At 38.8% G+C, this 25,207-nt stretch overlaps 1 protein-coding gene across 34 annotated transcripts in view, besides 2 other annotated features; it reads right to left on the bottom strand.

Moving 5' to 3' along the window:
- The window catches only part of MGST1 (microsomal glutathione S-transferase 1), a 246,217-nt gene extending 242,229 nt beyond the window's left edge, over positions 1–3,988 (bottom strand). For 24 of the 34 annotated variants that reach the window (NR_048545.2, NR_182294.1, NR_182295.1 and 21 more), the window contains exon 1: positions 3,393–3,458. The gene's annotated coding sequence lies outside the window, so the exon portion shown is untranslated. Of the gene's footprint in view, positions 1–3,204; positions 3,326–3,388; positions 3,459–3,825 lie in introns of those variants that run through there. The other 10 variants (XM_047428855.1, XM_047428858.1, NM_145792.3 and 7 more) reach the window with 4 other exon arrangements.
- Positions 1,579–2,508: an enhancer, noted in NCBI's record as "H3K27ac-H3K4me1 hESC enhancer chr12:16501529-16502458 (GRCh37/hg19 assembly coordinates)". NCBI's record gives its function as "activates a minimal SCP1, AML or CMV promoter by ChIP-STARR-seq in primed H9 embryonic stem cells {active_cell/tissue: H9 hESC(primed)}" and the evidence as "EXISTENCE:reporter gene assay evidence [ECO:0000049][PMID:30033119]".
- Positions 3,439–4,368: an enhancer, noted in NCBI's record as "NANOG-H3K27ac hESC enhancer chr12:16499669-16500598 (GRCh37/hg19 assembly coordinates)". NCBI's record gives its function as "activates a minimal SCP1, AML or CMV promoter by ChIP-STARR-seq in naive H9 embryonic stem cells {active_cell/tissue: H9 hESC(naive)}" and the evidence as "EXISTENCE:reporter gene assay evidence [ECO:0000049][PMID:30033119]".

The following is a 25,207-nucleotide window of genomic DNA, read 5'->3' as shown; positions in this document are numbered from 1 at the left end:
TAATGTTCCCAGAATGAAATTTATGTATTGATGGAACAAAAGTCCAGAGAACTTTTTTTTCCCCCTCATTGAAAATCAGTATTGAAAGAGTAGAGAAAAAAATGGCAGCCTCCCAGGACTGTTGGTAGGAAAGTACACAAAGAAGTCAGTGGCTGGGAAAAAGGGCAATGGGAGGCCTTTTCTTTAAAAATGAACAACACACTGTGCACTTCACACAGAGTTTCTCAATCACGAAGAATGTGGCTTAACTCCTCAAGTCTGTGGGTTTGGGAGACTGGCCAGCACCAAGCATCTGACACACACCTGATGAGTCAATGAACCATCTCTCCAGGGTAACATCTTCCCCTTCACAGGTACCCAAGAGCCAGGTAATGAGCAGTTAAGGTAAGAACATTAAGAAATAGTAGTTGTTTATAGCATGGATTAAGGCAATGCTGTTGTAAACTTTTTTTCCCCCAAAGCTGATTTATCAATCAATTGCCACGAGTTTGCTGCACAAAACTGCAGCCATTATCATGGTTGGCTCTGCAGCCACAACAAAATTACTGAAAGCCTTTTACCAGGAAAGGTTGTCAGGAGGGAGAAGAGTGGTCCTGTATAATAATAAATAACAGGATGAAATGTTAAGTGGTTTGAGGATTCAAGGAATGAAGGAGAAATAATCAAAGAAAAGTAAGCAGGGAAAAACACTAATTTGGTTATGAATTATAGAAAATATTTACAATGATCAATCATGTTTGCACAGTGGTTTGTTTGCTCATTATATTCTCCATTCATTGGCCAGCATGGTAATAAGTATCTCAACCTCTCTTGCCAGAGACCAGAGCTCTGTCCCCTAATGTGGAGGTGACTTCTTCATAAGAGGACATGGGGTAGAGTGTCAAGTATTCAAAACTCTGGAACTAGATTGGCATTCGGGTGGATCTCGACCCTGCCACTTAGTAAGTGTAACTTAACTTCTCTGGGACCTCTTCACCTTACCTGTGAAAGGAGTTGAATAAGAACTCCCATTTCACTGGATTCTTGTGAGCCTTAGCTGAATAAAGTTAGAAAAGCGGGGGCCGAGCGCGGTGGCTCATGCCTGTAATCCCAGCACTTTGGGAGCCGGAGGCGGGCAGATCACGAGGTCAGGAGATCGAGACCATCCTGGCTAACATGGTGAAACCCCGTCTCTATTAAAAATACAAAAAATTAGCTGGGCGTGGTGGCAGGTGCCTGTAGTCCCAGCTACTCGGGAGGCTGAGGCAGGAGAATGGCGTGAACCCGGGAAGCGGAGTTTGCAGTGAGCTGAGATCGTGCCACTGCACTCCAGCCTGGGTGACAGTGCGAGACCCCGTCTCAAAAAAAAAAAAAAAAAAAGAAGCTCTGGGACCTGTTAAATGCTGTGTGTTTGGTAAATAAAAAACTTCCGACTTTGGCGCTGTTCTAGGCACTGAGGATTTTAGAATTTTCAAAAAGCTTTTGCATATTTTATCTCGCTTGACCCGAAAAATCCTGAGGTAGAGCAAATAATATTTTTTTCTACCTTTAGTATGTAAGGAAATTAAGGCCCAGAAAAGTAGTGAGTAATATGACCCAAATTCACAGTGGAGAGACCAAGACTGCAACTTAGTTTTCTCAAGTGTTTACCTCTGGGCTACCCACCATCAAGGCTAAGAATTCTCAACAGCTCTGGTCTTCTGGAGGCCTTTCCTTGTCAAATCTCATTCCTGTTTTCTACCCCTCCCCCCAAACCCCCGTACTATCTAGCAGAGAAGAATCTTCACTTCTCAGTTGAGGAACGCCCTTTCCCTTTACAGGCTTTTGGCCAAAATGAGCAAAGTTCTCTTCTCAGGATGAGGTGGCCAGCCTTTCTGCATCAATATTGTGAAACACATGAATAATCTGGGCACGCATCCCCAGGGCCATGACTCTGCAATTTTGTACCTTCTAAAACTAACAAACACTACACATGAGATAAAGAAAAAAGATAATTCGGTGGCCATGTTGCGGATACGTTAATCTGGAACTCTAGATGAATTCTAGCATTTCCTGAAGGCATCGTGGTGGCTGCAGACTCAGCCCACTATGTGGTCTCATGCAAAGTGGGGTTCAGAGCCCAGAGGCTGCAGGTGAAATGCTGGTGCCTCTCGGGAGAGTGGTGGGGTAAGGCCTTTCTCTGTGCTGACCTGACCTCCTTTTCCAATCTCAGGGATTCATAGACACCACTCTAAAACAAAGCGGTAGAAAAATTTTACTCGTCTGCCAGAGAGGGTAATATCCAAATTTGGACTGATTTGCCTTTTTTTTTTTTTTTTTTTTAATTACCAAAGATAATCGCACACATAGCCCTCTTATTTTGGAAACAGCAGAGGACAACAAAGTCCAGTACTATCCTAAGGCCAAGAAAAGCATATGCAAAAGGTAGGTGTAGGCTGGGACTCACAGCAGGCTGGGACCCCAGGAAAACTGGGCTTTAAGGATTGCTCACTGGAGGCCTGGGTGCTATACAGCAATGCTTGCGGGCACCCACTCAGCACTCACTGGGTAAGAAATTAGGGAGAAGAAATAGGGGAATATAAACGTGGAGCTCAGACTGCCACATTTCAAGAGAAGCAGAGAGACTAGAAGATTTACATGCACTCCTCTCTCCTCTGTCCCAAGCCAGCTAGAGCAATATATGACACCTTAATTCCCGAAAAAGAGAGTTCCCTTCTCCTTTTCTCCTTCCACATGGCTTCCTCCTCCAGACTGGGGAAGTGGGGCACAGGTGAGAACCGTCCCAAGGGGCTCACCCTTAGCTCTCTTGTCACTGGCTATAATATCACACAAAAATATTATCATCTAACCCACATCCTCTTGTTTCGATAGCTAGCATTATTAGCAGTAGTATTATTTAGTATTATTTTAAAACTTGCTGATGTTTCTCCTATCAAAGTGAACTCAGAAGAGCAAATCCTGCCTTACAATAGGCATAAAGGCCACTATGCCCATGAAACCTGAGACATCGCAGGCTTTTGCACTCTTGGGGAGAACAGCAGTCGTTCAAACTACAGGCATTTCCTCCATTACTACACGTGCCTTTTCCTCCTTCCCCAGAGTTCAAGGGACCCTTTCAAACAGGAGGTTACTTTGACTTGAAAAGGCTAAGTTTGGAAATCATCACTCAAGCATGAAAAGACTCTCTCGTTTCATTCCTGGAGTTTGAGAAATGGGAAAACTTACCCGCACGGGGACAGAAATACAATTCCCTTTCAAAAGCGATCGATTGAAAAGCTAAGTTTAGCTGCTAAGTGGAGCCAAGCACTTCCAGCTGGCAGAGACCCCCCCAAGTCTTCCATCTGCCACCCACCCTGGCCCTCCCTGCCTGCCACCCTTTGCATGCGGTCCCCTTCTCCCCTCCCAGTACGCACGGTGAGGCCGAGGAGGAGGAAGCAGCAAGCCTGTCCCGCCGCCGGGTCGCGCGCAATGCAGGGACTGTGGCCGCGCGGGCCGGACGCAGGCACCGCCCCTCTCCAGTTAATCTCCTGTTAATTAGCCCTCCCACGTTTAAAGCCCGACCCCAACCTCGCCAAACCCCTCCTCTAAATCACCTGATTTACCCGCCCACAGTAACCATCGCCTGCTGATTCCCTTTGAGCCCTTCTATTTGGCGCCCTTAGAAACTCTGGTTCCTGAAATGCCAACTCCCCTAATCAGTGGGAAGGGGGACAGTAGCCATTGTCTAGGAACTCTGAATTCTCGAACATTTCAGGATCAGCAGAGTTTTGGAAGTTGTTTTTAAAAACTTCGCAGAAAGTTAAAATCTCCAGGGTAGAACTAATTAGCAGGCATTGACAATATTACCTTCCCTTAGACTTCACCTCCCCTGCGCTGGTGGCAAGGCCTCCTTAAAAGGCTGACAATGACAGAATGTAACCCTCAGTAAAGATCACTTACGGTGTTCCAAATTCATGATACCAGACAATTTGCTTTGTCACGATGTCCCCTCCTGTTCAGGGTCCAGAATGAAATTGGAGGCAATTGTACTGGATCAGCTCATTACACAATCAGCTTAGTGTGTTTTTTACAGGGAGGTTTAGAGGAACGTTTACGGAAGCCGTAGATATTTAGCCTACCATCACTATCTAGATTAGGGATACTTCCAAGCTTCCTAGTCCCCATAGTCCCCACAATATTTATGGATCTATCTTTCATGGGTTTATATGAGAAATGTTTAAGGATTTCTGTTTTCAATCTATATTATTTCTCTCCTAGTGCTATATCTCAGACACTCACCACCTGTTGCAAGGTCTACTTCCTTTTTTTGCTCTTAATTTACTCCTTTAGGCTTTAAAGGATATCCCTAGGACTAACTTTCTAGGATGTGATGGACAAGTTCATGTTCTATTAAAGAAAGAAATAACTACCAGTTTGCTCTAGGAACAGAAATTAATCCAAGGAAGGTCTGAGAATGATTTCTATATAAGCATAACAGTAGGAGTTTTGGAAAATCTAGCATCAGAAGGCATCTGTTCTTCACTTTTATGTCTGTATCTTTTCAAAACTCTACTTATTCACCTATCTTTGTAAAGTATACTAGAATCTGTCTGTAACATTAACTGGAATAGGATAGAATTTGAGATGACATAAATCTATTCTGAATTCTCTCCAAAGGAGTTTGGTATTATAAGAATTTAAGACTCTCTTCATTTATTATAAGGTGATACAGGCCAAATCTTATGGATAACATGGCAGAAAAAGGAAGAGGAGAGCTACTGTTTAGATAATTTGGTCTACAGAATGCTAGTTGAATGGTTCTAACATTTTTTTTTTTTTTTTTTTGAGACGGAGTCTGCCTGTGTAGCCCAGGCTGGAGTGCAGTGGCGCGATCTCAGCTCACTGCAAGCTCCGCCTCCCGAGTTCACACCGTTATCCTGCCTCAGCATCCCAAGTAGCTGGGATCACAGGCACCTGCCATCACGCCTGGCTAATTTTTTGTATTTTTAGTAGAGACGGGGTTTCTCTGTGTTAGCCAGGATGGTCTTGATCTCCTGACCTCGTGATCCACCTGCCTCAGCCTCCCAAAGTGTTGGGATTACAGGCGTGAGCCACTGCGTCCAGCTGGTTCTAACATTTTTTTAAAAAAGAAAGTAGCACTTGACTCATCTAATGCTCTAAATATAGAATGTGTTCAAACTATTAATTGATCAATGAATAAATACTGAGTTCCTACTATCACTAAATCACGAACAATTATTGCCTGTTACATACATATATATATGTGTGTGTGTGTTTGTGTGTATCAGGCAATATTATATATATACATACGGATATATATATGACACTGTATTGGGTAGAATATTAGCAGTTGGTTTAATTGAATAAACATTTATTAAATGAATGCAATGTACTTGGTTTGATGCTAAAATCTAAAACTAAGATAAATAACGTCAAAGAGCTGTCCTCCAGGATTTTACAATCTAGTAAACACAAAGGCCAAAAAGGTAAAAAGTTGCCATTAAGCTTGTGGAAGGAAAGTTTCCATTTAGAAATAAGAATGACAGTTGGGGTGTGAACTAGGGCGGTAACAGGTAAAAGTTGTAAAATAATTGACACTTTATATTCATCTTTGTTATAAGCTCTTAAATGATTGAGAAAGAGAGAGAGTTGTTATTCAGCTTAGTTTCGTCTGGGTAAAAGAATGGATTCAGCTTTTCAACCCTTCCTCTCACCACCATTTAAATTCTAGAATACCATCTTTTAGAGAAACTCAATCCAAGCCTCAGAACAAGTAATTCCCTAGTAAATATTAAAACAGTTTAAAAGGTCATTGATTTGGGGTGAGGAGAGCAAAGGTCATTCATCTGAAAAAGGAATTACCACAATAAAGAAAAAAAAAGCAGACTGTTCAGGGGATCAAATTAGAAATATCTGGAAGAGCAAAGCATTGGAAGTCCAGTAATACCTTTGTCTGTTTTTAAAACAGACAAAGTAAAAATGGCAGAAAGAATTGCCATCACCTTCTGTTAAGGCTTGCTGTAAATAGGAAGAAAACAGGTGCCTGTCACTCCCCTCAATTATATTGGGGCCTTTGTTTTTCCCTAAATCCACAGAACAGGTGCCCTGCCACAATCTGAAACTTACTGGGGGATTTCAGTAAACTTGCATAAGAATATGTTTTAAGGTCAAGAGAGCAAAAAGTGAAACAAAAATAAGCAATATTCTGAACACTTAAGGATTATTTTAGAGTTATAATACATTTTAAACATGTATACTAGATTGTTTATTTCTCCCAATAACCCTATAAGGGAGTTCTTATTTTTCCTATTTTTTAGACAGACACTCTGAGATACACAGCAGCCTGAAAGCTGTGCTAACTTCTGAAATAAACTCTTAAGCTAATATTGTCAAGAGGCAAAAGTAGCCACGATGAAAGGAACAGAACTAAAAAATGATAAAAATTCTTGAAGCTAATCAAGAGAGTATAGTAAGGGTATAAGGATAGACAAATAGGTCAAAAGAATAGAATAGAATCCAGAAATAGAACTATATTTAATTGATCAATTGATTTTCAACAAGGTGCCAAGACAATTCACTGAAGAAAGGAAAGCTTTCAACAAAAGGGGCTGGAACCACTGAATAGCCACATGGTAAAAAAATTGAACTTTGACCCTTAACTGACATCATACACAAAAATTCAAGCTGAATCACAGACCTCAAGGCTAATACTATAAAGCCTCTGGAAGAAAACCTCGATTATCTTCATGACCTTGGGGTCGGTAAAGACGTTTTAGGCAGGAAACAAAAAATTATCTATAAAACAAAAAAAAACTGATAAATTGAACTTCATCAAAAGACATTATTAAGAAAATAAATAGGAAAGCCAGAGACTGAGAGAAAATATTCCCAATACCATGTATCTGACAAAGAACTTGTATGCAAAAGAACACCTATGACAATAATTGAGACAAAAGTAGAAAATTAAAAATTGAAAATATTCAAAATATTTCAACACTCACAAAAGAAGATATATGAATGACTAAGAAGCACATGAAAAGGTATTCAATGTCATTAGTCTTCACAGATAGGCAAATCAAAACCACAACGATTTGCTTCTTCCCAAAAATTGAAAAGGCAAGAATTAAAGACAAACAAAATCAAACATTGGCAAAGCTGTGGAGCAAATGAAACCATCATACATTGCCAGTGAGGGTATAAAATGGAATCAAATAGTAAAACTGTCTCATAGTTTCTTATGAAATAAACATAGAACTGTTTTATAATCCAACAATTCTGCTTCTAAATACAGTATTCACCCAAGAGAAATGAAAGCATATGGCCACCAAAAAGATTGTTCAAGAATGATTTTAATAGCTTTATTCATACTTACCAAAAACTGGAAAAACCATAATGTTCATCAGCAGAAGAGTGCAAAGACAAGTTGCGGTATATTCATACAAGGAAATGCTAACTACATCACATAAAAAAGTAAGAAACTACTGATACACACAAAAATATCTAACTAAATTTCAACATTACACCAAGCAAAAGAAACCAGACCCAAAAGAGTATGATTTCATTTACATTAAATTAAAAAATAAACAAAACTAATGTATAATAATCAAAATGATAATAGTGGTTGTTTCTAATGGGGTGGGGGCAGTGATTAGCTGGAAAGGAGCATGGCTTAGTTTGCTCAGGCTGCTATAACAAAATACCTTAGACTGGGTAATTTATAAACAACAGAAAATTTATTTCTCCCAGTTCAGCAGGCTGGGAAGTCCAAGATCAAGGCACCAGCAGATTTGGTGTGTGCCAGGGCTGCTCTTTGCTTGTAAGATTGCTCCTTCCTGCTGCTTCCTCACATGACGGAGGGGGCAGGGGAGCTCCCTTCAACCTCTTTTATAAAGGTATTAATCCCATTCACGACAGCTCCACCTTCATGACTTAATCACTCCCCAGTAACTATACTTATATCAGATAAAATAGACTGCAAACTAAAAACAAACAGAGACAAAGAGGTCACTGTAAATTGATAAAGGGGTCAATTCAGCAAGATAAAACAATTATAAATATCTATGCACCCAACACTGGCACTCCTAAGCATATAAAACAAACATTAATAGATATAAATGGAGAGATAGACTGCAATGCAATAATAGTAGGGATTTCAACACCTGACTGTCATTAATGGACAGATCTTCCAGACAGAAAATCGACAAAGAAACATCAAAGTTAAACTATACTCTAGACTAAGTAGGTCTAACTGACATTTACAGAACATTTCACCCAACTGCTGCAGAATACAGTCTTTTCATCAGCACATGAGTTCTCTAAAATAGACCATTTCTTAGACCACAAAACAAGTCTCAACAAATTCAAACAAGTAGAAATCATTCCTGGTATCTTTTCTGATCACAATGGAATAAAACTAGAAATCAATAACAAGAGGAACCTCAGAAAATACACAAACACATGAAACTTAAACAACTTGTTCCTGGATGACCAATGGGTCATTGAAGTAATTGAGAAGGAAACAACAATTTCTTAAAATAAAGAAAATGGAAATACAACATAACAAAATCTATAGGATACAACAAAAGCAGAATGAAGAAAAAAGGTTTATAGCAATAAACATGTATATCAAAAAAGTAGAAAGACTTTAAATAACTTAATGATGCACCTCAAGGAACTAGAAAAGAAAACAAACCAAACCTCAATATAAGTAGAAGGAAAGAAATCATAAAGATCAGAGCTGAAATTTGCATGAAATTGAGACTAAAAAAAAACACAGAAGATCAATACAATAAAAAGTTGGTTTTTTGAAAAGATAATCAACAAACCTTTAGCTAGACTAGGAAAAACAGAGAGAAGAGTCAAATAAATGAAATCAGAAACAAGTAGCGCATGCCTGTAATCCCACCACTGGGAAGACTGAAGTGGGAGGATCACTTGAGGCCAAGAGTTCAAGATCAGTCTGGGCAACATAGGGAGACCTCATCTCTACAAAAATAATAATAATAATAATAATAACATTAGCCAGGTGTGATGATGCTACATGGAGGGTGCTATGTGGAAGATCACAGGAGCCTAGGAGTTTTTGGCTACAGTGAGCTATGATTGTGCCACTGCACTCCAGCCTGGGTGACAAGGTGAGACCCTGTGTCTGGAAAAAAAAAAAAAAAAAAAGAAAGAAACAAAAAGGAGACACAACAACTGAGACTATGGAAATATAATGAATCACTAGAGACTATTATGAACAACTACATGCCAACAAATTGGAAAATCTAGAAGAAATGGGATAAATTCCTGGGCACACATAGCCTATCACCATTGAGCCAGGAAGAAATAGAAAACTTCAACAAACCCCTAACGAGTAACAAGATTGATGCTATAATAAAAAGTCTCCCATCAAAGGGAAACCCAAGGCCTAATGGCTTCACTACTGAATGCTACCTGAACATTTAGAGAAGGACCAATTCTACTCAAATTCTTCAAAAATAAATAAATAAATACATAAATAAATAAGAGGGAACACTTTCAAACTAATTCCATGAGGCCAGGATTTCCCTGATACCAAAAGCAGACAAGGAGACAAGAAAAGAAAGCTACAGGCCAATATCACTGATGAACATAGAGGCAAAAATCTTCAACAAAATACTAGCAAACTAAATTCAACAACACACTGAAAAAGATAATTTGTCACAATCAAGTGGGATTCATCCCAGGGATGCAAGAATGGTTCAACATACATAAATCAATAAACATGACATATCATATTGATAGAACCAAGAATAAAAAAACATGATCATTTCAATAGATACTGGAAAAGCATTCAATAAAATTCAACATTACTTATTTTATATATATGTGTATATATGTATACATATATATGCGCATATATATGTGTATATATGTATACATATATGTGTGTATATATGTATACATATGTGTGTGCATATGTATACATGTGTGTATGTATACATGTGTGTGTATATGTATACATATGTGTGTATATGTATACATGTGTGTGTATGTATACATATATGTGTGTATATGTGTATACATATATGTGTATATATGTATACATATATGTGTGTGTATATATGTATACATATATACACACACATATGTATACAGATATATGTATATATATAAAACCCTTAGACAAGCGTGTGGTGGCACATGCCTATAGTCTCAACTACTCAGGAGGCTGGGGTATGAGGAACCCTTGAGCACAGGGGTTCGAGGCACCAGCCTGGGCAATATAGTGAGACCCCCATCTCTAAAAAGCAAAACAAAGCAAACCCCTCAACAAACTGGGTATAGAAGGAACATACCTCAAAATAATAAAGCCCATATAAGATAAACCCACAGCTAGTATCATACTGAGCAGGGAAAAATTAAAATCCTTTCTTCTAAGATCTGGAACAAGACAAGGATGCCCACTATCACCACTTTTATTCCACATAACACTAGAAGTCCTGACCAGAGCAATTAGGCAAGAGAAAGAAAGAAAGAGCATCCAAACTGATTTCATCTTTACAAATTAATGAATGTATTAAATTATCACATATACCCCAAAAATATGGACATTTATTGTGTATCATTGAAAAGTAACATTTTTTTTTTTTTTGACAGAGTCTCACTCTGTCACCCAGGCTGGAGTGCAGTGGCGCGATCTTGGCTCACTGCAACCTCCGCCTCCCAGGTTCATGCCATTCTCCTGCCTCAGCCTCCCAAGTAGCTGGGACTACAGGCGCCCACCACCACGCCCGGCTAGTTTTTTTGTATTTTTAGTACAGACGGGGTTTCACCGTGTTAGCCAGGATGGTCTCGATCTCCTGACCTTATGATCCGCCCGCATCGGCCTCCCAAAGTGCTGGGATTACAGGCATGAGCCATCGTGCCCGGCCAAAAAAAAGTAACATTTTTTAAAAATAAAAAAAATTTTATAAACTTCATTGAAGTTGACAATAAAAGAATAATAAGATAATTACATAACTATCACAAGTAGTTCCACCTTAATATTAGATTGAAAACGTTGAAGGTAAATGTAGGTAAATATGTCATAAAGGAGTCTGTGAAATTCTAATTTATTTCTGTGTTTTTGTCTCTTCCAGGGAAACAATCGATTTTATTGTTTGTTTCCTTGTTTTTCCCAGAAGGGGGATAGTCTTAAATGCAATTGTGTACCAAGGATTAAGAAGGAGGTTATCCTTTTCGCTCAAGCAGTCAAGCAGCAATCTTCCCAGAATTCCCTGGCAAATGTTTCAGGCGACATGGAGACTAAATTATTTATTTGTTGGATTAACATTGATTTTTCCAGGATATACCATTTCACTGATTCATGGAGTTTACCAAAGGTCCAGGGAGGGCATCCTGCCACTCTAGTTCCAAAACTGTAGCTCTTTAAGTTGATTTAATCAATCTCTTTAGTATAGGTGATATATTGCTGGCTTTAAATACCAAATTCGCAGAAGCAAACTTGAAGATATGATTTCAAGTCAAGAAAATAAACACTATACACTATTTGCTAACATCTTCACAACTGCTTTCATTCTTTTGAACTCACATAAGCTTCCTGACAACAATTACCAGAATGGATTAATAAAAGTTATCATTCCTATCATGGAGTTTCTTTTAGAAAGTTTAGAGCCTTCCATGTGCTGCAAGACATCACTTGGTAAATCTTGTAGAATCTATTTTTTTCTTCCAAATCTGTTTAAAATTCTTCTTTTTCTCCCTTTCGATTTAGTACCTTTAGATCTCTGCATTATGTTGTGTTTTGCAGGGAGCTATTGACTTCAGCTAAGGAACCGTGAACAGTAATTATTTTGCATGACTAAGGTCTGGTACACCATTGTCAGACAGGCACTTTACAGTACCACTAGTTTCAAAATTTAGAACAGAGCTGTCAAACAAGCAAATGCCTACACCAAAGACTTCTATTTTCAAGCTACAGGCATGAGTTCTATGATGTGCAATAATAGTGTGAATCTTTGTGTTCTTGGGAAAACTTCTGATTTGACAGTCCTGGAAACGAAAGCCTGTTACTTTCTAGAACAGATGCATCAGTGGTAGCAACAGTACAAATTTTCAAGCAAGGCTAAAGTATGGCATAAGTGCTGGAAAGGCGCACTGAGATTATTAAGTGGTAAAGAGAATTGTTTTTATGATGAGCAAAGGACAACCTACCCCAAACAGAGAAATTCTGATTTGACTCACCTCAATTGGACATTTTTCCAACCACTTGTGAAAACTTTTATGGAGTTACCAATTTATAGTCAATTACAATTTTTATCCTAGAAACATTATATATCTAATACCAGTGTTTCCCAACGTTTCACAAAGCCCAAGAGTGGAACACTCACACATTATTAATAGGCAGGGACATACATTTTATATGTTAAATGCCTTTTGTCTTTTCAGCACAGCCATGTATGACCCACTCAGAAACACAAGGACAAACAATTTCTGTTTACAAAGTTGACCTCTTATCCCTTTACATTCTTATAACACTTCAATTCTTTTTCTAGTGTCCTCTCTTCTACTGATAATTCAATTCTCAAAATAACACTTTAGGATAAGTATTATCTTCCTTTCGTAGATAGGAAACTGAAGAACAGACGAAATGACCTTAAAATGTTATATGGCAATTAAGAAACAAAGGGAGGGTGGGAAGTATGACTGACTAGAAGGTGAGTGGGCTGAAATTCTGAGCCTTCACAGATGTCTCTGTGTTTAAGTGTGAAAAAATTTTAAATATTTCCTTTTTATTGGCCTATGCAAGTCTTCAGAATGACTTCATAGTCATATATTTATTATTGCTGAATTATAAATCAGAATTCCAATTTAATCGGTAAAAAGAGACGTTTTGTCTTTCTGCTCATCAGCTACTCAGTCTGCTTTATAAGGTACTCCCTTCTTAGGTGGAAACCCAAATAAGAAATAGCAAATTGTCCAGAGTGAAAGTAATGCTTTTTCCAGGCTATGGTAGAATTAGGATAATTATCTCAGGTTTTTATCAGAGGACACCTTCTGAGTGACCATAGAAATATTACTATAGTTTCCTAACTGGATTCTGTAGTTTTAGCCTCTCCTTCTTCACCCTCCATTTCCACAGAGCCTCCCCAGGACTGTCTGTTTGAACTTTCTGAAGCACAGCTCTTAATAAGCCACTCCTCCACTAGAAACCCTTAGTGGCTCCCCTTGTCCGGAATTTAAGCAATTTAATGATTTCTGCCTAGTCTACCATTCCAATCTTATTTCTAGACAATGCCATGTTGCAATAAAATTGAAGTATTCATGAAATGGAATGGGCCTTCTACCTAGTTTGACAATGTCTGGGATGTCAAGATTTTGACTGTAAGAGCTGGGTAAGATTCACCTGCACTCAGTGTTAACAGTACCTGTTATGTCACTCAAGCTTCCCTCTTTGAAGAGAATGTGAAATATTTGTTGAGAATCACTAAGCAGACATCTTGAAAATAAACATTATTCCTTAGAATACATAAGGAAAATTCAAAATTTCTACCTACGAAAATCAGTAATTTGCGATCCCTGGCACCTTCAAAAGAAAGTGGCTACTGAAAATGAGAGAGTTTAGCCAGGTCTAGATAAGAGAGAAGGGAGATAAAAAGAGGAGATGGTTGCTGGAACAGAAACCTGGTGAGGAGGCAGAGCCAGTGAGACTTCAGGAGCAGTTGGGGAAAGGGTTGAGACAGAGATGAAGTAGCTGGGGAGTAAGATGATCTTCAGAGGCAGAACAGATGTGACATCAGAAGAAGAACAGATGTGACTAAAGGAAGGAAGTTTTGCACAAATTTATGAGGTATATGTAAAATTTTGTTAAATGTATCTAATGCATAGTGATCAAAGCAGGGTATTTAAGGTGCCCATATCCCAAGCACAATATATTTTTTTAACTATGGTCACCCTATTCTGCTATCAAACACTGAATTTATATGTATGTTTGTACCCTTTAACTCACTTCTCTTTGTCCTCCCCACTCACACCTCCCAGCCTCTCTTTTCTAACGGAGATTTTTATTAAGTTTTTAGACATAATGTCTAATATAAGGCTCCTCTCCTTTCCCCATACTGTCTTTAGTAAAGTATTCCACTCTCTGTAAAGTCTTAGGGAATTGATTTTCTTTTCATTGACCTAGGCAAGTCTAGTCTATTGGCCTAGGTGAATCAACAGAGTGTGGAGCTGGACTTCAACAGATGGGTTGAGAAGAGAGGGGTCCCTCAAGTACAGCCACATCTTGGTTAAACAACTAATGTACAATCAACATATAGCAGGTTTCGATCACAGTTCCAGTTTCTCCTTGGGAAGAAACTGGCAATCATTTGATTCAATAACTCAATAACTGGCAATAACTTGAGTCCAAGTGGATTTTTCTTCTGTGTGTTCTACTCTTTTTATGCCAACAAAACCTATGCTACATCTTACTACAGAACCAGTATTGGGAAGTCTCAATCTTTAATTGGAGATTTGCTCATAGAGCAGTCTGTTTATGGAAGTCTATATGTGACTTATATAGAAATGTTTTTCTTTTCAATATCATCTTTAAATGCTGACTGACTGTGAAAAATTATACCCTCCCTGTCTGCCATCTTTTTGTAAGAGCAAAATCCTTTTCTTCTGTTCTCTTATTCAAAGAGGATTGGAAATATAACGATAGACTTTAAAGCTCCTATCCTGATTTAAAAAAAAATGAATTGCTTCTTGCTTCAAATGAGATCTGTAAATAGGGTGTGCCATGTTAACAGTGACGGGACTTTTCCTGTGAACACCATGAAGACTTGCTCCTTCACAATCCCTGTGAACAAGGGCTTAGGAAGGACAAAATAGGTATTATGGGGCCAGTAGAAAAATTATTGCTATCTTGACTGTATATGAAATTCATGATGAGGCAGAGAAAGTAGAATAGGTTGAGAGGATAAATGTGTGGAGGTAGTTAATTTACACATGTTCCACCTACTCCCATTGCCATACCTGTCCTCTGTCCTGGCCGAGAGTGTCTTCCTTCTTACATCAGTCTCTCTAAAATCCAGACAGCCTAACCCAGCTCCTACTGCTTCTTAATTCTGAAGCTCTCACTCGGTTAAACGTGATGTCATTCTCTGCTGAACTTTTGTAGCAAATTATATTTACCTATTTTATGACATGTTTACTTTATCTTGTAATTTGATTACTTTTGTAATTTTAACACTCCTACTAGACCATCCTAACTCACTCTTGAATATAAACCATGGCCCTAAGTTTGCTGAAAAACTAAACATACGCACACACACATATACATATATACATGCATATGTGTATATTTATGTATCCATATTCTTCCTTATCTCTATTTTTGAAAATGTTCATTATGATATGTATTATTTATATATGCAATGCAATAATAAATATATGTGATCAGAAATACAAATATTGTATTATGCCCTTTACCAACAGTACTTTAGGCCCTTTACTCCCAAGATCCTCTCAAGTGGTAACAACAAAACTTACAAATCTCTTACCACCTACGATTACTTGCTAGAATAGATATCTCAATCCTCATATTCTTATCACTGAAACACATTCTGCTAGCATTAGATCAAGGGGTTTTCAAACTATATTTTCCCATAGGATTCTGTGTTCAAATAAAATATTAAAGATAACCTTAATATTTAAAATAATTTATAGTAATATGCAAATCTTTCGGATGGTCTAAAATATTTAATGATTGGAGAAAATGAGTAATTCTTTGGTTAGGAAATCCCAGAAGCATCTCCATGAAATCTTGGGGTTCATCTAGTCCAGCTCCCTCTTTTAACTGGAGAGGAAATTGAAGCATAGAGAGGCTATTGTAACCTGACCTACATTACTCAGCTAGTAACTAGAACTTACATGTTCTTAGTCTAAGGATCTGCCTATTGTATCACTCTCCTAATTCTTCTTTGTGATTATTTTAGAGCATTGCATTTCTTGGACCTAATTTCAGATTGTGACATATGTCCCATTTGAATCCTAGAGCTCCTACACTCTGCTTACACCTAGTCTTCAAAGTCTAGGGTCCTGCTTCATTCCAGATCCCAACAAAGGCTTTCCTACCAAGAACCCCTGTCACTCAATGGCTATGCTCCGGACCTCCTCAGGGCTTGTCCTCAATGTCTGGCCTGTTGTTCAGCCATCTTCTCATCACCTATATTGCTTCTCCTTTGACAGACAGTGAAGATTTATTTGAACCTGAAGATCCTTACATCTTTCCTGACTATTCCACATTTGGCCTGATTTTGCAGTGGAAAGCACTCCAGCCTCCACATGTCTGTGTCTGAATTTACCACTCTCAGGCTGAGCAACAAACCTAGACTCTCCACCGATTTTTCTGTTTTCTCTGTCTTGCTCAATGTACAGGGAATAGAGCTTGAGTTCATTCCATCTTGGTCCTCTAAGAATCAGGTGGGGTGATACCTCTCTCTTGCTTTCTCCTCCACACACACACAACTGTACAAGGTACTAAGACAACAAATAACTACATGCTCATAAGTAGAACAGGTAATATCAACTTCAGTGGCTTAGAAAAAGGAAAGATCAACATTGGTGAAAATAAACAAAAAAAAATGCTTTTGAAGAACATCTCTTCCCAGTACCACTGCATAGAAAGTCAGGGGAAGGGAGCCATATCAGGGACAATATGAGCAAAAGAATCATCAGAAATACGGAGATTGACGTGGACTGAGAAAAAAAGTGAAACGTTTATATAGGGGATTCTTTCAAGATTATTTTTTGTTGGAGTTTGCAATTAATGATTTTGTAGAGTCTATTACTACAACTTTGATCATAAATCCTTCAAGATTTCTGGTTGTGATTTAGTTGATTATGATCACATCCTTCTGCTAACTTGTTAGTCGTTAGGCGGGTCCTAGGCAAAACCATGAAGTAGGCAATAATTCATCTGCCAGCAAAGGTCAACCAGACTTTTCTCTGCACATAGAAAAACAAGAAAATGTCTGCAATGCCATCCTGGATCCATCTAATAGTCAGCTGCCATGGTCCGAATATGAAAGACCATGGTAACTACCTGCATCCTGAAGCTGATCTCAAAGACGTTGGGATCTTTCCCTGCCTGACTTCTCTCTGTATATTTGTTAAAACATTCTATATTGCAGATATGAGAATACCCAATACAAATTCAACTAAAATGGATTTATTGACTCATATAATTAGGTGGCCCACAGGTATATCTAATTTCTGTAAGGGCTTGAATCAAGTGTCATAAAATGAAATTAGGATCTCTCCCCATTTCTCTGCCCTGCTTCCTTGGTGTTGACTGCATTCCAGGCAAACTCTCTGCTCAAGTTTGGAAGACATGTCTGACTCTAACCGCATACTAAGTCACAGAATTAAACCTTCTTGGCCCTAATTTGTCTTAATTGGATCTGATATCTATCACTGAAATTAGATGAAATGCACTGAATGTCTTACACTAGATGAGCCTTCCTGGAGAGGCAGGGATGGAAGTGAATCTTAGTCACCTATCAATTGGGAAACCTGGGAAGAGTTTTAAGAATGGGGTAGAGACGCTTGTATTCTAAAGGCATGAACAAATGTCCACTAAGAAATAGCAATTTTCTATGACTCTTTGTTCCTCTGCTTCCTTTTATTATTTATTTCTAAAACCAGGTGGTTGACTGGGGTTGAATTTCAGTTCTACCATATATTCAGAACTGCCATATTCAGTTCGGCTTCATTCTTGAAGTCAGCGAGACCAAGAACCCACCGGAAGGAACCAATTCAGTTCAATAGTTAGTGGAAGAAGGTGGCTATCAACAGAAGTCAGTGTGAGACGACGTGAGGCAGGTTATTTAACTCCACTAGGTCCCAGTTTCCTCATCTCTAAGGAAGAAATAATAATCCCTACCGAATAAAATTATTGAGTATTAAATGAAATGAGATAGATGGCATATATATCACACACACACACACACACACACATCCTTCAATAAGTTATTTTACCTCTCTATACCACATTTTTCCCTTCTGTAAACTAGAGATAATCATTGTACCTACCTCATGGGGATTTTTGTCATGATTAAATAAATAAACAGTGCTTAAAACAGGGCCTGGTGAGAGGTGAAGCCAGCTGGACTTCCTGGGTCGAGTGGGGACTTGGAGAACTTTTCCACCTAGCTAAAGGATTGTAAACACACCCTTCAGCGCTCTGTGTCTAGCTAAAGGTTTGTAAAAGCACCAATCAGCACTCTGTAAAAACAGACCAATCAGCACTCTGTAAAATGGACCAATCAGTTCTCTGTAAGCAGGACATGGGTGGGGCCAAAAAAGGGAATAAAAGCTGGCCACTGGCGCCAGCAGGGGCAATCTACTCGGCTCCTCTTCCACGCTGTGGAGGCTTTGTTCTTTCCTTCTTCACAATAGATCTTGCTGCTGCTCACTCTGTGGGTCCGCACTACATTTATGAGCTGTAACACTCACTGCGAAGGTCTGCAGCTTCACTTCTGAAGTCAGCAAGACCACGAACCCACCGGGAAGAAAAAACAACTCCAGACGCACCACCTTTAAGAGCTATAACGCTCACTGCGAAGGTCTGCGGCTTCACTCCTGAAGTCAAGCGAACCCACTGGAAGGAAGAAACTCAGGAACATCTGAAGGAACAAGCTCCAGACACACCATCTTTAAGAACTGTAACACTCACCACGAGGGTCCGTGACTTCATTCTTGAAGTCAGCGAGACCAAGAACCCACTGGAAGGAACAATTCCGGACACACTGGTACATAGAAAGTATTCTCTTGTATTTGTTATTATTATTATTATTTGATTATATCAATAGTCTGTGATCCTGACTTCTTCTTTCTCATTTGTTGAGTTTCCAGTTCCTTCAAATTGCCTTACTCAGGGTTCCCAACGGAACTAGTTTCTTGGTCCAGTTTTTCCAGTCTTCTCTGGCTTCTTTATCAGAATTTACCTATGTCAATAAGATTTTTATCAGTGCATTCTTTCTGTGATTTACAAAGCTGACCAGAAACCCTACAATCATACATTTATAGAACTTGTAGGAACCATGGAAGCCATCTATTCTAGTAGTCTCCAAAGTAGGGTGCACAGGAATCTTGATCCATTGAAGTCAAGGGGAAAATCTATTAAAATTTATAGGTCTGTGTATATTGTTAGTGTAAAATTTGCAAGAAATAATTCTTAAATGAATGCATTCAAAATGCTACATATTTATTATTTAAAATAGTCAATATATTAAAGGGCACATGCTCAATTTTTTTCTTTTTTACTAATAAAATGGTACAATCACAAAAGTTGGAAGATGAGTGATTTCATCTACTCCTCTTACATCACAGAAAAGGCAAGTGACACACAGAAGGGAAGCAACTTATCCAAGATCTCAATTGTTAGTGGAAGAAGCTGGCTGTCAACCGAAGTCAGTGTGAGATGACCTCAGGTAGGTTATTTAACTCCACTAGGTCCCAGTTTCCTCATCTCTAAGGAAGAAATAATAATCCCTACCGAATAAAATTATGAGTACTAAATTAAATGAGAGAATATTTAAAGAGGGTAATGCAGTGCTTGATTGGAACAATCAAAGGTTCAATTAATGTTAGTTCCCTTTCTTTCCTCAGGGTAAATGTCTTCTTCATCGAATGACATTGCTTTTCAAAAACTAGAATAAATAAAATAGTACTGCACTATTTCATGGTGATAAGGTTATATGTTACTAAGATCTTTGCAATTTAAAACAGATTTTAACGGCTGCAGACATAAGAATAAAACCAACAAATTCAAGCGTCACAGTAGGCTGGTGGCTGAGAGACGTAGGGGTAAGAGGCTTCTTTGCCACCTTTGGACCAATACTAGTGTTGGTCCCAGAATTCTCTGTTGGAGAAATTTAGGGGCAGTGCTGTTTGGGAAGGGGAATCAGGAACTTATCCTAAAGCTGGTTGCAAATATACCATTTACTTAGATGTATGTTTGTTTGGAGTAGTACTTTTAAGGGGGTGTTTCTATTGTCTCCCCTTAACCCCCCACCCCGCAAGTCCCCCAGCCATCACTGGTTGCAGCCATTGGCCATCACATATCTCTGAATTACTAGCTTAGTCTTTCCGTTCCTACTCAAAATCCCATGCAAACAACAATAAATCTTCATATTCATATGTGCTCTAAATAGCCACTATACTAAGTAAACTGTTCACTTTCAATTTAATAAGTCTTCTCATCCCTAAATCAAAACTAATTAGCTTTGTTTTTCAAATTGCTGACATTGGGGGTCTTCGCTGTAACAAACCTGTGTGTGATTAGTGATGTAACGGCTGGTGCTGAGCTTGGGCAAATATTTATAGAGTAATCATATTGGATAGGGTTGAATAACCTCTTGGATTAAATGTGAGCTTCTGCCAGGCGATGCTGCAAAATTGTGCTAATTTAATGGTACAGTCCATTGTTCCGTCTGCTAATGTAACCTCTGTAGACACTGGTACAAATATAATCAAGGATATTAGAGCACAGTATGGCTACTTTATTGGCACTCCTGGCAGTAATGTGCCAGAAGAATCCAAATATAAATTATGTGACAGGTAAATAGAAGTACATACAGGGAGCAGATCAAATATACACACACCCAGCACAGAGATGAGCCTAAGGTAAGTAGTCACTGGATAAATTGTTGTTGTGCCATTAGTATATTAGACACAAGAGGAACAATTTTGCTTTTATTTACTTTCAAGAGCATTAAACAGATGTTAATTGGGTAAACCAGCTGTACAGTTAAAGGAAGATTGTTTCTATATCAAGCTATATTGATATTAACTCCAACTTCTCACAGAGACATAGGAAATGAACCTGAAGATACAGTGTTAATTCTTAATACATAGCTGTTAACCCATAGTCTGAAAGGAAACTCAGACCTTGGAAGAAAGAGACGAAGGCAGTAGTTTTTCCAGATTTATGCACTTAAGCAATGGCCAAGTGGATACTAGAAATCCCATCTTCACACATCCTGCCCAGCGCTTTCTCAACCAGATTATAGGGATCCATAAAAGTAAAATACTGTAATATTGACCTACAAATGACTTGAAGAACCTGGGTCATTTCCTTATGCATATTCATTACTCATCATGTTATACAATTTTTAATTTAATAAAAGTTACATATTTGATATGTATAGGTAAAAAGACCTTGAGAGCTTTTTATTTGCATTGATTAATTGCAATTGCACCATTTTAAAAATACAGCTTCACTATCTGTCTTAGACACTCCAACCGGTTAGCTATATTTAGATGTGAGGAGGAGGCAGAGTATTTCTTAAAGAGTTCTATGTTTCTTACAACTGACTTGACTGACAGTCCTTAAGTGCTATTTCTTTCAAAGCAAATATGACTCACAGCCCTTAGGTAGAGTGTGTGCACAGGCTAGAAATATTGATCTGTCCACATCCTAGAAACATTCAAACACAATAAAAAAGAATTTTTAACTTGATTCTGAATAATGCAATAGCAAAAACATATGAACAGGACAAAATCGACAATGGTAATGTATCCGTAATGCTTTATAATGTCAAGGATTTAATTTAAACTCAAGAAACAGAAACTATCTTTCCAGCTCGAGCTTACCCTCTTCAGCTTAACTGTGACAGTTCTTAGAACAGGAGGTGCCTAAAGAAACTAATTTAAAGATATAAATAAATATGCATTTATTTAAGTCATTGAGTACAAAGTACCCACTTTATGAGTAACTCCACTCACCAGCTTAAAATTTAGAAATGACAGCAACCAGGAGGCAGTTTGGTAAGACTTCCCTTTGGAGTTTACTGATAATGGGATGAAGAAACGTTCCCCATTACTCCACATCAACACTGGCCAGAGCTCTGTGGAAGAAGAGGCAGGTTTCAAAACGTAACCTGGGACCCTGAGGTTCCAGCCAATAGATGCTCCCCTCCCTTGTGTTTCCTGAGCTACTTGGAAACCCCTTTTTCTTATTGCCCGTGGCCAGCCTTCTTGCTACAATTATTTCTGGTTCCCACAGAAGGCAGCAGAAAATAATCAATACTGCTGTGGGTTACAAAACATGAAGTTTTCTCAAATTTGGCACCACAGAGGTGCCAGCAGCTGGATTCCTCTTCCTTCTAGCAGTGGTTCAATGACAGATTTGCAGGCTACACTTCTGTCACTCATTACCTTAAGTAGTATTTTGTATTTTTTTTAAAGTTAAGTTTTCTACAATTAGCTCTGTTTCCATTTAATAAATGTATATAATCCTTTCCTGGGGTAATGCATATATGCTTCCATACAGTTACATGACTTGGGGAGCAGACGTCAATGAATGAGAGAGAAATGGGCTAGAGGCAGGAATTACTGGTGAGTGTGAGTTGACAAAGAATGACTTCCCCAGCAGGCAATTTCCATGCCTGCTGACTTCTGTTTCCCAGGCCAGCCCCTCTGCAAGTCATTGCCTTCCTTTCTCACCCAATCCTTTCCCAGTATCCCCTAACATTGTTTGGCTCTTCCCATACAGATCAGGGTAGCAACTGGAGAAATGTCTGCTTAGCCTTCATCTATACACTGTAATCAGCCCAGTCCTTAGACACAAATAATTTCAGGACTTGTATTTAAGAAGTTTAATCTCCATTCTACATCAATTTATTTTCTATCATAACACTGTGACTAGTGCAACCAAGTTTCCCCAAGGCTGTGTTCCTGTCCCTGACCACCTTTATTAGCTGGGCCCTCACATAATGGCAGAGACTGAATGTTTTGCATGCCACCAAAATTCATTGGTTGAAGGCTAATCTTTAATGTAATCGTATGTGGAATGGAGGTAATTAGGTCATGAGGGTAGAACCCTCATGATGGGATTAGTGCCCTTATAAGAAAAACACCAGAAAGATGACTTCTCAGTCCACTAAGGGAGGATATAGCAAGATGACATCCATTTGAAAACCAGGAAGAAGGCTTTAACCACAAACAGAATCAGCTGGCATGAACTTGGACTTCCCAGCCTCCAGAACTGCAAGGAATACATGTTTATTGTTTAAGTCATCTAGTCTATGGTATTTGTTATAGCAGCTCAAACTGACTAAGACATCTAATTTGATCCCCATCCCTACATCTGGGTTCTTGACATCTACTATTGAATAGTTGAATACCTTTCTCTTTGATCTCTGCCAGTTGTCCACTTTGTATGCCCCATAATAACTACCTGTTCCACCTCTGCTTAAGATAACATGTGAGTTTCACTCTAACCTTGGTTTATATCATGTCTGTTCTTTCCCCTTTGACTCATCTCCCAATTTCAGATTCCCTTTCTATATTCACATCCATGTCCTCCTATGGCTAGATTAATACTCTGGCTATAATCCTATTTTAGAAGCCCTGGGGGTGTCTATGAATTTATGGTCCTGGTCTTTGTCTCTTCAGCCCTATATTCCAGGTATAATAAGTGCCATATAAGTAATAAAACCATAAAAGATAATGGTAACTTATATCTGTTAAATACACACTAAGTATTAAGAACTGTTTTTTTTTTTTCTATTTATTTATTTTGAGACAGGGTCTCACTCTGTCACCCAGGCTGGAGTGTGCAGTGGCGCGATCTCGGCTCACTGCAAGCTCCGCCTCCCAGGTTCTCGCCATTCTCCTGCCTCAGCCCCCTGAGTAGCTGGGACTACAGGCGCCTGCCACCACGCCCGGCTAATTTTTTGTATTTTTAGTAGAGACGGGGTTTCACCGTGTTAGCCAGGACTGTCTCGATGTCCTGACCTCGTGATCTGCCTGCCTCGGCCTCCCAAAGTGCTGGGATTACAGGGTAAGCCACCGCGCCCAGCTGACTAGGAACTGTGTTTTTAAGTTTTACGTTAACATGTACAACCACCTTTTCATTTATGCAGGGCTGATAGCCAGCTGATGGTCATATGAATATAGCATTCCCAGCTGTGAAAATACTGCAGTGCTTTCTCACGGGTTAGTAAATAGCCACTGCCCCAGTCTCCCAAAAACCTCCCACCTGACTTCCAAGTTTTCCAGGCTTTCTTACCATCACCTGCTCCCAAGCCCCATAATCCAGCAATCAAAAGGTTGATTCCTGGCACGGTTCTCTGGCCAGTGTTGATTCTGATTGGTTGCTGCCATGCCATGCTGGCTGTCAATTATTTTCAATATCAGCTCCTCACAAGCCATATTATGCCTAATCTACATACCAGCAAATTGAAGCTCAGAGAAGTATACTCACTCAAGGTCATAAATTAGTAAATGGTAAAGCACAGCCTCAAACCTGTATCTTCCGATCTTTGTAGACTATTCTCTTTCCCCTATACCAGATAGTTCATAGATGCAAAGAGGAGTTCCCCAAACTTGCCTGATAGTAAGTGTTTTGTCAAAATTACAGTTTCCCGGGCCACTCCCCCTGGATATTCTGATCCAAACCAGTCTAGTTCAAGGCTAGAATTGGTGTTTTCAAGAAGGTGAATTTTATGGTTATACAATCTTTGAAACACTGCACAGGGGCATTTTCTTTCAGAGTTTAATTTGAGAATGGCTGGAAACATTGTAATATCTTCATGTTTTAAGTGAGCAAGTAAAGACTGTATCACAATTCCGAACTTGGAGGAAATGCTTTTTGAATAAAATGGGATGTGTGTTTCAGGCGGTAGGCTACTTGGTGGTTATTTTAGATGGGGTGGTGTAATTCAAAAGTACAGTCAATCTTTGACAGGTCTGGAAACATCATTAGTGACAACCAGTGATGAGAATGAAACAAGATTTCAGTTTACCAATAGGTCATATGAAAAGGACAGAATGAAAGCTAAAGCTAAAATAAAAGTAATTTCATGAAATGTAGAAAGGGGGCACTGAGTTTACTGAGGAACATTTTCTAACTCTAAAAACCATTAATTTACCCAAATAACACTACAGAATGTACTTGCAGAACAATAACCTGTGAAAAAAGAACTTAAAGGAGGTTACATGTATAATGTTATCTGTGATGGCCATTGGTGCTTTCTCTCTGCGTGTTGCCATCATTCTGCAGTGGTGTATTTTCTGTTAATGTTTGACAATATGGTTTGTCACATAAAGCCTTTTTAGTAGCATCCCTCTCTGGAAATTCTCTCCCATTTCCGCTGTTAGCCAAAGCTAATCATGAAACATAAAAAGGTATCCAGAAAAAGGCAAGTACAGTATCACATATTAATTGCACACAGCAGGTTTATGATGCAGTTCTCTTTCACATGATGAA

This window comes from Homo sapiens, chromosome 12 (assembly GCF_000001405.40).
Source record: "Homo sapiens chromosome 12, GRCh38.p14 Primary Assembly".
Lineage (NCBI taxonomy): Eukaryota > Metazoa > Chordata > Mammalia > Primates > Hominidae > Homo > Homo sapiens.
Note: the sequence above shows the minus strand (reverse complement) of the source record. Positions and strands in the feature narration are given on the sequence as shown.